The 12,780-nt window shown below is 38.0% G+C and overlaps 1 protein-coding gene across 4 annotated transcripts in view; it reads left to right on the top strand.

The window, feature by feature from the left end:
• GPM6A (glycoprotein M6A) overlaps window positions 1-12,780 on the top strand; it is a 369,457-nt gene continuing 356,677 nt past the window's right edge. For all 4 annotated transcript variants that reach the window (NR_048571.2, NM_001261447.2, NM_201592.3 and 1 more), the window contains exon 1: window positions 1-85. Coding sequence is in view for 1 of the 4 variants with exons in the window: in NM_201592.3 (NP_963886.1) it covers window positions 82-85 (4 nt within the window). In the remaining 3 variants the exon portion in view is untranslated. The remainder of the gene's footprint in view (window positions 86-12,780) is intronic.

The following is a 12,780-nucleotide window of genomic DNA, read 5'->3' as shown; positions in this document are numbered from 1 at the left end:
GCGGCTTGGAGAACTTGGCCCCGCGCAGCGTCTGGTCACTCGCTCTCCTCTGGGGACTGCAGAGAAGCAGGACCTCGGGCCATGGGTGAGTGCGCGGGCGGGCGCGTACACCTCGCCCAAAGGCTCGGCCTCGGGAATGGGCATTATAGAAAGAAAATGAATGTTCCTCGGCCTCAGACTGCGTCCTTCCCAGCTCTGTTCCCCCCGCGCCTGGCGTCCCCCGCCCCCCGCCCTCTTGTCTCCGGACTTTTTTTTCTGGGAGAGAGGCGATGGCGATGGGGTGGCACCTGGAGGCGAGGGAGGGTGCCCGACTGTTTACAGTGGGTCGGGAGGGTGGGGGGCTGCGCTTGGGCGCTGATCCTCTGCGCCGGCCCCAGGACCCAAGCCTGGGGGTCCGGTCTACCGTGCTGGGGGCGGTATTTGGGAAATAAAGAAAGACTAAGAGACCCAGGATCCGAATAGCGAGGCGATTACAGGGAGATCTCTGTCCTCCCGAGTTCCCACGTTTTCATGTTCTCTTTGGGGAGCAAGTTGAAACGGGGCACGAGAAATGGAAACTTCCTAAAACTTCCACTTTGTACAGGTTTGAGCAGAGGAAGGTGCTGGTGCAGGGCCAGACTGGGGACAATTTCTAGTCCCTTTCCAAACGAAGTGCCCATTTGCACAAAAGGTTTGAGGTTGAGGCTGAAGGCTGATTCTTCCTAAATTCCACCTGGGTAAACAGCGTGATTAAAAGGGCGTCCACACTGGCTCGGGTCACTGGACGGTGGAGTTCGGCGCAGTTCAGCTTCGCTCAAGTTTCCAGGCAGGGTCCGCTTATTCGGTGCTTAGCGGAGGCAGCTTGGAATAGCTCCAGGAATGTGACTGCGTGTGGCGGAGGGGAGGAAGAACTGGGTGTGAAATAGCCGATTCACACCCAGCACTAGGACGCAGGGTCCCACGAGTCACCTCGAAGAGCGAGGGAGAAGCTGGGGAGGAGAAAGCACTCGCCATCCCTGGACTGGCGTATCCACAGGCGCAGGGGAGATGCTGCTCTTCCGCGGTTGCCGACTGCGTTCAGCCCGCAGCCCGAGTTACTCTTCCAACCCCAGCCCGCTCACTTCTTCCAGCCAAGTCCACTGGGCGCCCCTCCCCCTTGCTTCTCCCTTGTCCTTTGTTGTGAGGGATTTCTCCAAGAGTAAAGGAGGCCTTGGGGACTGACGTGCTCGGGTTGAAATTCCTGTATTCCCACAGGCTCAAGGGTTAGGGGATGCTTTGACTACTAATTTCTGGAGTTTATAGACAGTAGCCAACTTGGAAGAAAGGAAAAAAGAGAAAGCTGAGGACATTTTTGCCTATGAATGTTAGCTGTGATCAAGACTTTCATAGTCTCTTCTTGCTTGACCCCTGGAAGTGTCTTAGAAGGACCCATTTTTAGGGCCTTTGTATAAACAGTGTTGGAAATGGTCTTAAGAAGGACTGTCTTTAAATGTTTTCTGAAAAGGAAGGAGTATTTTCAGGTTAAAAAAGAAAGATAAAACATTTTCCCAAGTGTGGCAGAGAGTATTTCAGGCTCTTTTTTTTATTTGGTTGTTAAGTGTTGTGTTCCATTGGAAAGACAGGTCCGGAATATTTTAAATTTTTCTCCTAAACCCAACACTTGCTGTTCTACTTGACCACTTGAGCCTATAAACTCTTGTTTCTATGCTCACACAGGAGAAAAGCTGTCAGAAATGGAAAGTCAAAATAATTGACTTGATGTAGTCTATTCATTAGCTGTATTAAAAGCATTAAAATGCCATTTGGATCCAACATAATAAAATGTCTAGAAAGAATTACATAATTTACCCTTGTAACCTCAAGCTCGAGAGGACTGGCTATCAAAGGTAAGGTATTCATAATTTCAAACTTAATTATTTTTAATTTCCATTTCCTTACTATAGTGAAAACAATTTGTCCTGGATTTTGCTTCAATGCCCATGGATAATTAACAATCATCCCTAATTATAGGAAGATTTTGTTGTGGGGGATGGTGTGGAGTTAACAGCTGAGTTGTCAGGATCCAAAGCTTGGTCTGTAACTCTTAGAAGTTCTCTTTCCTGTCTGTAATCTGACAGATACCTAAAATTTGTTTGTTCCTTCTACTGCCAGAAGTGGATAACATTTTTCCTGTTGTAATTGAGGTCACCAAAAACTTACGTAGTCAGGGGCCTAGTAGGACAGATTAAAAATATTCCTGAACTCTCTTTAGATGGAAGTAGAGGAAGCAAGTGAGGAAGCCAGAGGTGAGCGAAATAGAGAAAAGAGCAGGCCTGTAGCAGGGGAGAGTGACAGCATGAAGCCAGAACTCAGGACAGAGATTCAAGTATGCAGTCCAGAGACTAGGAAGAGCCAATAAGAGGGGCAAAGTGGGGAAAGCAGGAAGGAAGTGCATAGGGGAAATAGAAAACATTTGGCCACTTAAGGCCATATCTCTCCTCTTTCTTTTAATTTACTTATGAAAAATAAAACTTCACTACTCAGAACCTCTTCTATTTAGTGGTAGTAGGGATGGTAGGGAGTTTAGCATTAGAGTCCAAATGGCTAGGATAAGAGGGAAAAACAGCGTAGGAGAATGCTGGATTGCGCCAACAAATGGAATCCAGTTTTTTTGTTTTGTTTTGTTTTTGTTTTTTTCCTGGTATCATGAAAACCAAAATTTATCACTTAAAGAAAGGAAGATAGTGTTCTGGGGATGAATGTAGCAATCAATTCTCATTTGTCTTAGAAGAAGAAATCTGAACTCTAGCACTGTGGAAGAATGAGAGTAATTGGTTAATCAAACATTCTGAATAATTTATAGTCCTTCATATCCATAATGCACAAGGCTGATTGTAAAAAAAAAAAAAAGTTATTTGCAAAGTAGGCAAATTGCAATTTTGGCATCTCTTCCTTTTATTGTTTGATTTCCTCATTGATGTCCTCGGCTTCTCTAGGTATGCAGCAGGGCTATCCCTCCACTGCAAAATTTCACTCTGCAGAAAGGATGCAACAAAATAGTTGATACTAAAAAAACTGCAGGGCTAACACATTGCTAAGAGTATTTACATTTTAACTTTAAGATGAACTTTAACCTGCGAATCTCTAATTGTGGAATTTCAGGCCCCATTGGAAAGATAGGTCAGGAATATTTTTACATTTTCTCCTGAACACAACACTTACTGTTCTACTTGACTACATGTATATCACTATGAGACTACATGTATATCACTATGAGACCATTGATTACTGTTTTGTTTAAAAATGATGTTGAATATGATTTAGTTTGACAGATATTATGAAAAGTTTAATGGGAGTGGTACTGAACCTGTCTTGGAGGAATGTGAAACATTTGGAAAGGAAGTGGTTCTAGGTAGAATAAGGAGCTCCTTCTCATGGCAGTAAGGAGGTGTGTTTGGGGAACAGTAAGACATGGAGCTGGATTGACAGGATGGGATTTGATTTTGGAGAGCTTTTAAAAGCAATGATAGGAGGTAGGGTGTCATGGAAGGTTTTTGAGCAGGGAAGACATAATGAGATTAGTGAAAATGTTGTTTAAAACAGAATTAGTTGGAGAAGACAGATCCAGTTGTCACAGTAATCCTGGGATAATATGATATATGCCTAAACCAGTTTGGGAATAATATTATATGATATATATGATATGATAATAATAGAATATGATACATGTCTAAGCCAGTGGAACCGGAGAGCAAAAGATTGATGAGAGATAGGTCAAGTGAAAAATCTATAAAATTAGGAAATGGAGCAATAAGAGAATGAATAGAAGATTTTGTCTAGAAATTTGAAATCTTGAAGACTGGGGAAGCAGTGGGTTCCTTGATAGAATATTTAAAGGATAAACCCAATGGTTTACTTTCTGCATGTTTTGGACAAGAAATTAATTTCATATTTGAAATGTTATTAAGAAGTGATAGCAAGGCCGGGTGCGGTGGCTCACGCCTGTAATCTCAGCACTTTGAGAGGCAGGACGAGCTGGGTGGATCAGTTGAAGCCAGGTGTTTGAGACCAACCTGAGCAACATAGTGAGACCGTCTCTACTAAAATTACAAACAGTAGCCGGGTGTGGTGGCACACGCCTGTAATCCCAGCTACTCGGGAAGCTGAAGCACGAGAATCGCTTGAACCCATGAGGCAGAGGTTGCAGTGAGCCGAGATCATGCCACTACACTCCAGCCTGGACAACAGAGAGAGACTCAGTCTCAAACAAAAAGGAAAAAAAAAAAGAGGTAATAGCAAGACATCTAAACACAAATATTTAGTATGTTAGGAACACATAATGAGAATTTAATCAGAACACAGGAACAAAAAGGAAAACAAAGATGAAAGGGTTACCAACCTTTAGTGAGAGGAAAACCCATGAAATGAATTATCTATTTGAAAGTGTGAGTATAAGGAGTACTGGTTGAGGGACAGGGAGGGAAAGGATAAATCCTGTTTGATTGAAGAAGGATGCCAACTGCATGATACGTACTAAATGCCCCAACATAAGAACAGTGAAATGTGACAACTTAAACATTCCACATTAGATTTAAGAGTATACACATTTTGACAAGAGAAAAATATCCAATGGAAATATTTTGCTCTTACTCAATTTGAGTAACAATGGAGTTGGTTAAGTATCTGTAAAATTGTTTGCAAATTTAGACAAAAAATAATGACACACAGTATTGTCTTGAGCTCATACCTTTTTTTTCAGGAAAACTATGACACCCTCGAGACAGTTATGAACAAGGTACAAGAGCCAAGGTTTGAAATAGGAGAAGCAGATGATAATCCCTTATGCCTTTGAATGGGTCCTATAAATCTCTGGGATCCTGTTTCCTCATTTGTTTGATGAGAAGGTTGGGCAAGGTTCTATAAATTTATGTAGCTCAGCTCTTGATCCAGTAACTATTAGAGAAAAAAAAAACATGTAAAGAAGATAAGATTAAGCTATTTCCATTAAGCAAATCAAGAACACTTTTATGATGCTAGAGTACTGGATAATACTTTTGATCATTTGGCTTCTAGTGTGTTATTTTCCTTAGAAAATCACAAAGTCTGATAAGAGTCCCAACCTCAGCGGAAGAAGATAAAAGTCATGTTCTAAGCATTTATTGCTGCATAAAATGATCTCCCAAACTAGTGGATTAAAACAACAATTTATTATTTTCATTCACGGTTCTGAGGGCTGACTGTCTGCTGAGCAATCCTCATTTGAAGTCTCCTGCCTTGGAAGCCTGATGACAGCAGGGGATTCAGCCATCTGAAGACAGGATTGGACTGGTCGTCCAAGAGAGCTCACATATATATAGCTGGCAGTTGATGCCAGCTGTTGACTACGAGTTTATCTCGGGCTGTCCTGAAGTGGCTTGGGTTTTCCACAAAATGGTGGCTAGGTTTCAAGAGGCAGCATCCCAAGAATGAATGTTCCAAAAAACCCAAGCAGAAGCTGCAAAGATTCTTATGATCTAGCATCAGAAATCCCAGGACATCGCTTTTCCTTGATGTGAGGAGCAGCCAGCTCATACGAGGAAAGGAGAAATTGAGGGTAGCCGACTAATTGATCTAATTCCTAAAAGAGCTGTCTTGTTAAGTGTGCTTCACATTGGGTTTACAACTGAAAACTCAGCACAAGTCCTGAGAAAAACATGATTAAAGACTAAATTTTTAATTAGAAACATGAAGAAATCTAAACAGTCACACTAAAATTTCACAGCAAAACATTTGAGTGTGGAAATTCATGCCTGGGTGGAAATGTGTTGGTAGAATACTGGGATAAGCTCCACTCAAAATAGTTTCAAATAAAATCAGCTAATCTTCCTTATTTTCCCTTGAGTCTGAAGTTTCTAAGGCTATTGTAGGGTACTGTTCATTTTATTTAGAGTGGAGTTGGTCATAAACTGGAATGTAGGTCAATTAGCATAAATCCTTTGCTCAATATCCTCTTGTCACAATCAACTAGATGCTTTGTAGTGAACTGTTTAGGAGCTTGCTTTATTTTTCAAGAATGTGTTAGCTTTACAAAGTACAAAATTTGAATTGGTATAGTGTCACTAGGGGTTTCACCATACTTTTCTTTTGAAGAGATGTATTTAACTAAGGTTCCACTTAACAAAACTCTTCATGTAAATCTCCTTTTATTATTAATACTTTTATCTGGCAAAGTTAGAGCTGTCTCTGTGATTACAAAAAATCGAGGCCTTTCTCCCAGACATTTGAAAAACAAAGAAAAATTAGGGTAAATGAGATGGGTTGAAACTCCAGGACAGAGTTAGTTTCAACCTAGAAATTTTAGAGGCCTTAAAAAATATTAGCTCATTATTGTGTTTCAGCTTATTTAAGTTGAGGTCATTCTATTTTCAACTGTTTGACAAGAGGTGAGGAGACAAGGGTAAATACTGCAAAGCTGTGTACTCAATGCTCACTATCCATGCTATAGCAAGCAAACAAAGCCACATCCCAATGAGAAATGAAGCCTTGACCTGTATGAACGACATAACCAGAATAATGGAATAATGCGTTAATTCTAGAAAGCAGTATGATAAAACAAATTCTTTTTCAGTTTAAGATATTCGCTATTTATTTTAAGATATATAAGGTATGCTTAAATAATATACAGTAATAACAAAATAAATATCTCTTGCTAGTTGTATAAACTTTCTTATTGTAGAACCTCTAATTTTATTGCCTAGCTAAAATACCTTAAAGCATATATTAAATACTGATTCCTGGGTCCCAACTCCCAAGACTCAGATTCAGAAGGCTTGGGCTTGAGAGCTGGACCTGCAATTTTAACATGTAATCCGACTGATGATGAGGCAGGAAGTCTGGGGCATGCAACGAGAAAAACTGACTCCAGAATGCCTTTCTTTCAAGCTGACTTAGCCACTCATTACAGCTGTTATTCCTTCACTTGTATCGCTAATCGCTAATATACAGGCGTACCCTGTCTTGTTGCACTTCACTGTATTGTGCTTCGTAGATACTGTGCTTTTTTTTTTTTTTTTTTTTTTTACAAATTGAAAGGATCAAGCAGCAATTTCCACTTCCAAGTCTTATTATTTAAGAACTATATCTCACAAGGCAATAGCTGCCATACATAGTGATTCCTCTAATGGATCTGGACAAAGTCAATTGAAAACCTTCTGGAAAGAATTTACCATTCTAGATGCCCTTAAGAACATTCACGATTCATAGGAGGAGATCAAATATCAGTATTAATAGGAGTTTGGAATAGATTGATTCCAGTCTTCATGGATAACCTTGAGGGGCTCAAGCCTTCAGTGGAGGAAGTAACTGCAGATGTGGTAGAAATAGCAAGAGAACTAGAATTAGAAGTGGAGCCTGAAGATGTGACTGAATTGCTGCAATGTCATGATGAAACTTGAATGGATGAGAAGTTGCTTTCTATGGATGAATAATGAAAGTGGTTCCTTAAAATGGAATTTACTTCTGGTAAAGATGCAGTGATATTGTTGAAATGACAACAAAGGTTCTAGAGTATTACATAAACTTAGTTGATAAAGCAGCGGTAGGATTTACTCCAATTTTGAAAGTTCTACTATGAGTAAAATGCTAACCAACAGCATCACATGCTACAGAGAAATCTTTCATGAAAGGAAGAGTCAGTTGATGCAGCAATTATATTGCCTTAAAATAAGACAAATGCAATTCATTATCTTATTGTAAGAAATTGCCCAACCACCTTCAGCAACCACCACCCTGATCAGTCAGCAGCCGTCAACAGGGAGGCAAGGCCCTCCACCAGCAAAAAGATTATGACTTGCTGAAGGCTCAGATTATTATAAGCATTTTTCTAGCAATAAAGTATTTTAAAATTAAGGTATATACATTGGGTTTTTTTTAGACATAATGCTATTGCACACTTTATAGAATTTAGCATAGTGTAAACATAACTTTTATATGCACTGGGAAATCAAAAAATTCATGTGACTTGCTTTATTGTGATGTTGGCTTTATTGCAGTTGTTTAGAATGCAACCCCAAATACCTCTAAGGCATGCCTGCACTATTTTTATTTTCTAATCCTGGTCCTAATATTACCAAGAGCTACCTCTTGGAATTACTATTACATTTCTGTTTCATTTCACTACTAAACTTACTAAGTTTCTATAGTTGCTGTCTCTTCTTTTTCATCAGTCACTAATCAGCCTTCTTGGGTGATGTTCTCCAGAGTTCACTGAAACCCCTCCCCTGAAAGTTACTAATAACCTCCTGTCTCATAGCTTCAGTGTCATTTGTATTTATGTATCTCTCAAATGCATATCTATGCCTGTCAGCTGTCTTCACCTAGCTGTCCCTTTGGTCCTTCAGCCTCAATAGGTTCAAAACTCTCCTTTCTCTCTATCTTGGAAAGATGTTTGTAGAAAATAAGGGAAATTGGAAAAGGAATGTGAACATAATAAATATTTCATATATTATTACATTTGTACACGTTGCTAGGAAAATCTGGTAAAGCTACAAGTAAGTTGCACAAATGCCTGGAGTTCAGTAAATACTGCGTCTGATGAAAGTCTACCTTTCTTTTATGTCTCTCTGTGTCTGGTATGTCAGCTGCTTCCTCCTTGCATTATAGTTATTTGTGAATGTGTATTGTTTCCTTCATTATTTGGGGTCATGTCCAGACTTTGAAGGCAACAACATTTAGATAATTGACAAAGAAACCAACAAATACTCTTATCATCAAGCTATTTGCCTATGACTGCCTACTTTGCTAACTCAGAAAGATACAAAAATACAAAATTTAAAAAGTATAATGTATTTAATATTGGTCATTGCAGGAGACAGGAAAGAAGGCAAAACTGTGGAATGAGTGTATCTGTTCAGAACAGGGTATAGAAAACAGTTGTGGGAGGGAGTTAACCTTAGACCAAAGGCCCTTGTGAAAGAAACACTAAGGCAAGAAGGATCTAGAACATTAAGGCAAGAAGGACTTTTCAGCTGAAAAGTAGATGAGACAGAGTTAGTGCACATTCAGAAGAATCAAAGAAAAAAAAAGAGTTTTAAGAAGTGAGTGACCTACAGTATTCAGTGCAACAGAAAGAACAGAAAGGAATACAATATATTTTGTTTTAAGGGTTTTTTCATTTATATCAGATATTGAAATCAAAGCATTTTTAATAAAGGAGTGAAGATACAAGTCTGCTCTCATAGACCAGATTACAAGGACTAGGAAAAAAAAAAAAGAAAGGAAGAAAAGTAAGGAAGAAAGAGGGGAGGGAGAGAGGGGAGGGAAACAGGAAAGGAGGGAGGGTGGGAGGAAATTTGGACGGGTCCAAGGTCAAGCAAAGATTTTTGTTGGGTAGGAAAGAACTGTTTCATGATTTCAGAAGGGGAATGATCTAAGAGAAAGGCAGACACTGAAAATGCCGTGGAATAGCAGAATCCCTCAGCAAGTTACTACAAAATGATCTAATGATATACATTTATTATTTAAATATAACTTTAAAAGTTAAACAAACTGTCTAAGAATGTTTGATGGCATTTGAGTTTTTTAAATGATAAGATATGCTTCTTGACTGTTTTAAATTGTGATATAATACAGTATGTCTCGTGAAGTTGGTGTTAATGCATCTGTTCTGAAAACTGTATTGTGTTCATTTTTCTTGTATTTTATTTATAGAGACTATTTATACCTTCATGTATTTAGGAATATATAGATAAATACATGACCTATATTCAAACTGTGAAATGAATCAACAGAGATGAAGCATATTGTGCTTAAATAATCACTACACTAGGAGTCAGGAGATAATTGTTCTTATTCCAAAAACTCAGCTATTATTGATCTGTGCTACCTTGGTCCTGTAAGATTTCACTCAGCTCTAGATGCCTATAAACTAGTCAATCAATCAATTGTATTGAGCCCCACATCCTCACCAAATTATGAAGATGATGCTCCCATAGCAGCATTTCTCAAAGCTGACAGATCTTTCCTTGTTAGTAATTCTTCTGTGTTTTCAACCCTGACTTTCTGACAGAGAAGACACCTAAGGCTTCAACCAGATTTGGGTATTTTTCTTTCTTCAAGTCTTTAGATATTTTTTTCCCTTTATTAAGTGAGGATAAGAAAAAAATGGAAACAAAATAAATACCAAATATACAATATTACCAGGAATTATCTGAGACTTCCTTAGGCTACACGCACATTACTTGTAACTCATTATATATTATTAATATGTTATTAATTAGTGAGGGAACTAGTTGATAAATTTTAACATGTAAGTTTATATGTTTTATGCTAACAACTCTAAACTTTTAGATTGCTATTTACATCTCTGTGTGTGTGTGTGTGTGTGTGTGTGTGTGTGCATGTGTGTTTGTGTGTAGGGGGTTCTTGTTTTTTTCATTTTGATTGATTTGTTTCGTTTTTATATATGTGAGTGCAAGATAGTGTTTTGTGTGGCTGTTATGATGGAATCATTTTACAAGTCCTAGAAATGATTCATTTAAAAGGAATCATTTTACAAGTTCTAGAAATGATGTTTGCTCCATTGGCAATGTTATCTCCAGGTAAAAATGACCATCATGGTTAAATCCTAGTCTATACATCCGAAACAAATATATTGTGTTTTTTTTAAAGAAATATCAGGGCATGGAACAGATCATATCTGATAAAATATAACTCAGTGTTTGCTTATTCCTTCTGGGTATAGTATTTTTTGTTTGTTATTTTATTAAGAAAAATACATAAATATATAAAAGAAAAGTGCTGAAATGGAATTGTGCTTTCAAAATATTTTGAAGACACATTATATTTAGTAGATAGTTTTTATTAACGTAAGTCAACTATGTATTTCCATCTAGATTTGAAGTGCAAATAATGAACTTCAACACTGGATACTCAGGGAATTTTCTGCATTCTTTTTTTCAGTTTTCTTACTAAATAGTATAAAAGGATAAATATTCATAGAGATGTACTTGAGATATATGTTTGACTAGGTTATACATTTTGTCACTGTTTTACATATTTTTTTCCTATCTAAAGCAAGATTTAGGCCAGGCGCAGTGGCTATGCCTGTAATCCAAGTACTTTGGGAGGCCGAGGCGGGTGGATCACTTGAGGTCAGGAGTTCGAGACCAGCCTGGCCAACATGGTGAAACTCCGTTTCTACTAAGCATACAAAAAAAAAAAAAAAATAGCTGGGAGTGGTGGCGGGCACCTGTAATCCCAGCTACTTGGGAGGCTGAGGCAGGAGAATCGTTTGAACCCAGGAGGCAGAAGTTGCAGTGAGATCATGCTACTGCACTCCAGCCTGGGCTACAAGAGCGAAATTACGTCAAAAAAAAAAAAAAGAAAGAAAGATAAAGAAAGAAAGAAAGATTTAAAAAGAAGAATGAAATTTTATTTGTTAATTGTATGTAAGAAAGCAAATTTCTCTAAAGAGGAAAAAGGCAGAGCAACTATTAATACAAGTATACGATTTGTAAGTAGTTGGTTCCTTAGGTAAAAAAGGCATAGAAATACCTACAAAAATTAGTGTTATTAAATAATTTCATTCATTTCACAGCAGTTACCTTAAGAGAAATCCCCTTACATCATATGATAAATACATCCTGGTTTAAATCAGCTGACAGGTAAAGGGATACTCAACTCAAGAAATGTCAAATATTTAAAAATTCCAATGATAATTCACATATCTCATTATATCATCTTAAGATCATTGTTGTGGGAGAATTTTTGTTTGTAGGACCACCAACCATTCCCTGGTTAAAAAAAAAAAAAAACTACTTCACCCCCAAAAGCAGCCTTTTAAATTTATTTTAGTGTTGACTCGATTGAACAAGTATTTCTTAGGGGTCTACTGAAGGGTCTATCCCATGCCCACCCTTGCTCTGCACATAATGACGTAACGAAGGATGCAGGGTAAGTATAATTTCTGATTCTAAAGGACTTATGCTTTCATTGGAGATAAAAACTTGCACACAGGAAACTATTTAAAAATCTGTAAGACACAGAGATCTAGATTAAATATAATCATTGGTAAAACCACTGGTCAGGAATGGAGGACATCGATGGAGGCTGCAGTCATCAAGAGAAGCTTTCTGAATGAGTATCTTGACGAGCAGCTGGATGGTTTGTGACTTTGCAGCATTTCCTACAGGGAGTGATGGAGATCCAAGCAGATTTGGTTACAGATGTAATAAAAAGGAAGAAAATATGTGGGATAATAAGAAGGAAAAACATCTTTTTATTTGTTAGAATACAAACTAGGAGAAGTTGGTATTCTGAAGAGAGGAAGGAGTCATCAAGAACAAGCACAAACAAATGAAAAGTATTCACAATTCTGGTAACTTCCAATTAATTATAAATAACTGTGTATATCAAAACCCGTGTTATTAAGTAGGAGGATGATCTGGTATGACTTCTGTCAACCCAGTGATTCAGGATTGCTTTGTTGATCTACTTGTCCAGAGAGATAGATGTTACACCACTTCTTGCTATGCCACATGGCCTTCGTTGGAAGCTATGCAAGAGGATGACTCTTATAGATGACAGAAACATTTATGATTATTCAGTTGGTTTCACTCCTTAACTAAACAGAACCTCCAGACAAGGCTTTAAGATTCTATTTCCCACTTATTGCCATGATATAATCAGAAATTTATAAAATTTTACCCAAAGACCTAAAGAGATCTGATTCACTATAAAGGAAATAATTTAACATATTTAACTATAGATTATAACATAGTGGACTATTACACTGATCAAACTAAGTTATAAAATTAAAAATTAGAAACTTTAGCTATCAGAAAA

This window comes from Homo sapiens, chromosome 4 (assembly GCF_000001405.40).
Source record: "Homo sapiens chromosome 4, GRCh38.p14 Primary Assembly".
In the NCBI taxonomy this organism is placed as follows: Eukaryota; Metazoa; Chordata; class Mammalia; order Primates; family Hominidae; genus Homo; species Homo sapiens.
This window is presented reverse-complemented; position numbering and strand designations above follow the sequence as displayed.